Here is a 3,898-nt window from a genome sequence, read left to right as displayed (position 1 = left end):
GAGCAGGGGAAGCTATGATCTTCAGAAATAGCCTCGATTCAGGAACAGATGGAAGGAAACTTCAAAGAGGGCATTGAGATTAAGTAAACTTTGTTGTTCACAGAAAATAAGTTCCAGATGAGTCAATAGAGAACCTATTTTTGTGGACTTGAGACACTCAAATTATGATTAAAAAGTACTATTATAATGATGATAAAATTTCTATTAATATGCATGAGGTGCCTGCTATGCACCAAGCACCATAATAGATGCTTTGCATCTATTATGCAAAGTTATCCTTACCCTAACAATAATCCTATTGATCAGCTCTATTATCCACATTTTATGAGTATAAAAATTTAAGTAACTTGCCTAAAATGAGTTAAAATGAGTTAGTCAGGACTTGAATCTGTATTGCTCTGTCTCAAGTGTTGTAGGTTTCTAAAAAGTGCCTTCTTTATCAGTATAAGTCATTCTCTATCCATGTATTTCTTTCTTGATGATGGTAAAAGGGTTGGTTCATAGAATGCTATTGCATATAACCACAACATTAAGAATTAGATTGACTATCTTAAAATAGAAGTTAGTATCATTATCAAAAATATCTGAATATTTTGATTAGTTACAAACAGAAGTTTATAAAATGACTTTAGTATTAACTTAATGTGGGCTTTTCTGGTGAATTAAAATAAAAGAATGCCCAACATTTCCTTCTCCCACTCCACTTATATTTTCCTGCTTTTTCAAAGTACCAAAGTTAGGGCCATAGGGATTCTGAAGTATTTTAGTTGAAATGTATTATTTATTAATAGAACTATTACTTAATAAGTCCTCATATTACATGTTTGACAATGTGCTAAGCACAGTGGAGACTAAGACTGATATAATTCCTTGCATGTTAGACTGCAGAGTCTGGTAGGGAAAACAGACTCTAAATAGATAACCATGCATGCTTTTATTTGAAGTACACTTGTGAGAAGTGCTTTGAACGAGAAGTACAAGTTCTAGCAAGGGTATACAATAGAGAGACACAGCTCTCATAAGATGACTCCTTCCACAGGGTTGTGTGTCAAGTGCAGTTACTCTCAGTGGTGTGTTTGCTAAAAGGAGTATGGAATATGTTACCAATCTCCTTTACCCAACATTAAGTCAGATCTGTGCAGTAACAAAGAAAAGCAAGAGGCTGAGTAATAATACAACAGACATAGATTTTAAAAGCTTCCAATCTTGGTCCTGCAGGTGAAGCAATCCAACTCTCTCAGCTTTTGTGGCAGGTCAGACAACACTGGGAAGAGGACGAGGCCCTCTGACCCCCAATCCAGTCTGTATCTCTTAGACCTCGGAGCATCTCAGGGTTAATTATCCTACCTGAGAATTTTGAATAAATCCTCTAATTATGCTCATTGCTCTGTTTTATAAGAGGAAAAAATCATCTTGTGGAATTCAAGCAATAAAGCATCATGATATAATAGCCTCATCCTTTATTCTCAGCCTAATTTATCAAAGAAATGAAAGAGTATCAGAAAAACAGCTACCAAAACCTGTGAAAGACATGCCAATATTTTGGCTGGAGAGTAGTTTTGTCCTGACAACTATATTGACTCATCTTTAGAAATAAATTGTGTGATTTAAAATGCTCTTGAGAAGTTATCACTTATTAAAATTTCCTGCTGAAACTTAAGGTTTGATAATTGCAGGGTTATGGAGAGACCAAGTACCTTTACTGGTACAAGACTGTTTTCCCCAGCTCTTTCCCTGGACTCAGCTGGCCCATCGATTTTAGAGGCTATGGAGACCAGCATAACTAAAGCCATCCCCTTGCCTTTCAGTCAGAGCCCTTTGGCAAAAGGATAAAAAAGAGGCCAACCTTAAGAGTTATATAGTTTCTAATATCTTGGCTGCCCCTTAATAAGTATGTATTCAGAGCACATTGACAATAGTGCTACTGACATTGTTACTAATATAGAACAAGTCAAAATACAAAGAATTTTAAATGGTTCAGATTCTTTAAAAATGATTTTGGAACCGTTTCTTCTTCTAAACCGGAGTCTCCTGCTGCTCCTGTTGGTAGTGAGATCTCTAAAGTGCCAGACAATGGTGACCGTGATAAATGGTCTTCCTAGTCAAAGGTGCCCTGAGTGAAAAGCAAAAGTATAAAAAGCCAGTCTCACTTGTGTGATGCCAGTCTTGTAGACAATAAATGTCTGTGCATGTACTTTTAAAGCCAGATCTTTTAAGTTGATTGTTAAGCAGTTAACTGTTAGTACTTTGAAACATTCCATTCTTTGGTAGTGTAGAGTTGATGTTGAAAATTTTCCATGACACTAAACCTAAAGCTTTCTCCAGTTGAGCTTAAATAATTTAATGACTGCCTGTTAACATGGACAAGTTTAAGATTCTGGTAGGTTTAGAAAAATAAATATTTCCAGTAATCAAGGAAAGGGTTATTCACTGTAATTGACATTAATGTATAATTTACATACTATAATGTTCTTGGGTTTTAATAAGTCCTAATAAATAAAACTAAGGATGAGAATGGTTATCCCACAAGAATAAAAATAAACTATCATTTCATTTGCTTATGATTTGGGAAGTTGTTCTGTTTTGCTTCAAATGACTTGTTAGGGTTTCTGCAACTCGAATTTAAAAGGTACAGGGGTTATTCAGCAAAAAGTTCAGAAAGTTTATTCGATCGGTAAATTTTGTTTATTATGTATCAAAGGGAGTGAATCTATGTTAAACTGTTCATTTAAAAAGATATGAGAAGAAAAAGGAGAAAGAGGAGAGAGGAAGAAGACGAAGTGAAGCTAGTGACTCTCTTTCCAAATCCTGCTATAATATAAAATTATATTAAAAGTATTATAGTATTACACCACTACCTACATCAATAAAATGCCAGTTTGACACATTATGAGAAAAAATCAGCTACACTTTAATAAATCCAACTCTCTAGAAATAAAAGAAAGTGAAAAGTATATAGTGTGCCTCATCCACAAGAAATCATCAGAGACCACAGAGCCATGATATCTGCTATGCCACAGAAGTGTGTATTTCAAAAGAAGTGGTTTCCAGCACAAGGAATCTAGCTTCCTTCATTGCTAAATTTCAGTGATGTGTCAAGATTGACAGGCAACTCTGAAGAATAAATTGTGAAATTAGAGAGGGATCATGGTCTTTCATACTATTTTATTCTATTCCAAAGCTGTTTGCACAGACATCTGGAATCTAACTTGTAATTCCACATTCATAATAAGTTTTTCACATGGAAAATAAAAAAACTTGGATAGAAAAACCCTTCTTAAAGACCCCAGGACTGCCAACATTTGATCATTAAAAAAACTAAAAGTATGATATCTTTTGGTCTTCGATTTATAGCACCTGAAGTGCAATCATAGATGCCAACTGCAAATTTACTATTCATTGAAGCCCTGAAAGAATGAAGAAGTATAAATAATCAGACAACTCTAAATAGGTAGTAAATCTGCTTCTGGCTTTCTCTCTCCCCACTGAAGTTTTATAAGAAAACCCAGGATATGGTGAGGCATGTAACTGACCTTTTGAAGTTGACATGAAGTGGATAGCCATTTATTTCTAGAACAAGTCTGAGAAAAATAATAGAATGCACGGGCTATTTCTCTTATCCAAGAAAAAGATATTTTATTTTTGGCCTGTTTGATTTGGGGGTTTGGGATCCATCTTCTTTCTGAGTAGGTATTACATTATCCTGATATAACATTTGTTCCTTTCTAGTGATAGGTACTTTGACATCAGTCATCTCATATTCGGTAGCCCTGCAGCTTTTTCATAACCCTCACTGCTATCTTTGAGTTGTAATAACAAGTCAGGCCCATCATTGATCTTGAGAACCCTTCTACTCACATCGGGGTACAGAAAAGAAGCTTCACCCAGTGGGAAATAA

Source organism: Homo sapiens, chromosome 1 (assembly GCF_000001405.40).
Source record: "Homo sapiens chromosome 1, GRCh38.p14 Primary Assembly".
In the NCBI taxonomy this organism is placed as follows: Eukaryota; Metazoa; Chordata; class Mammalia; order Primates; family Hominidae; genus Homo; species Homo sapiens.
The sequence above is the reverse complement of the archived record's forward strand: the minus strand, read 5'-3'. Positions refer to the sequence as shown.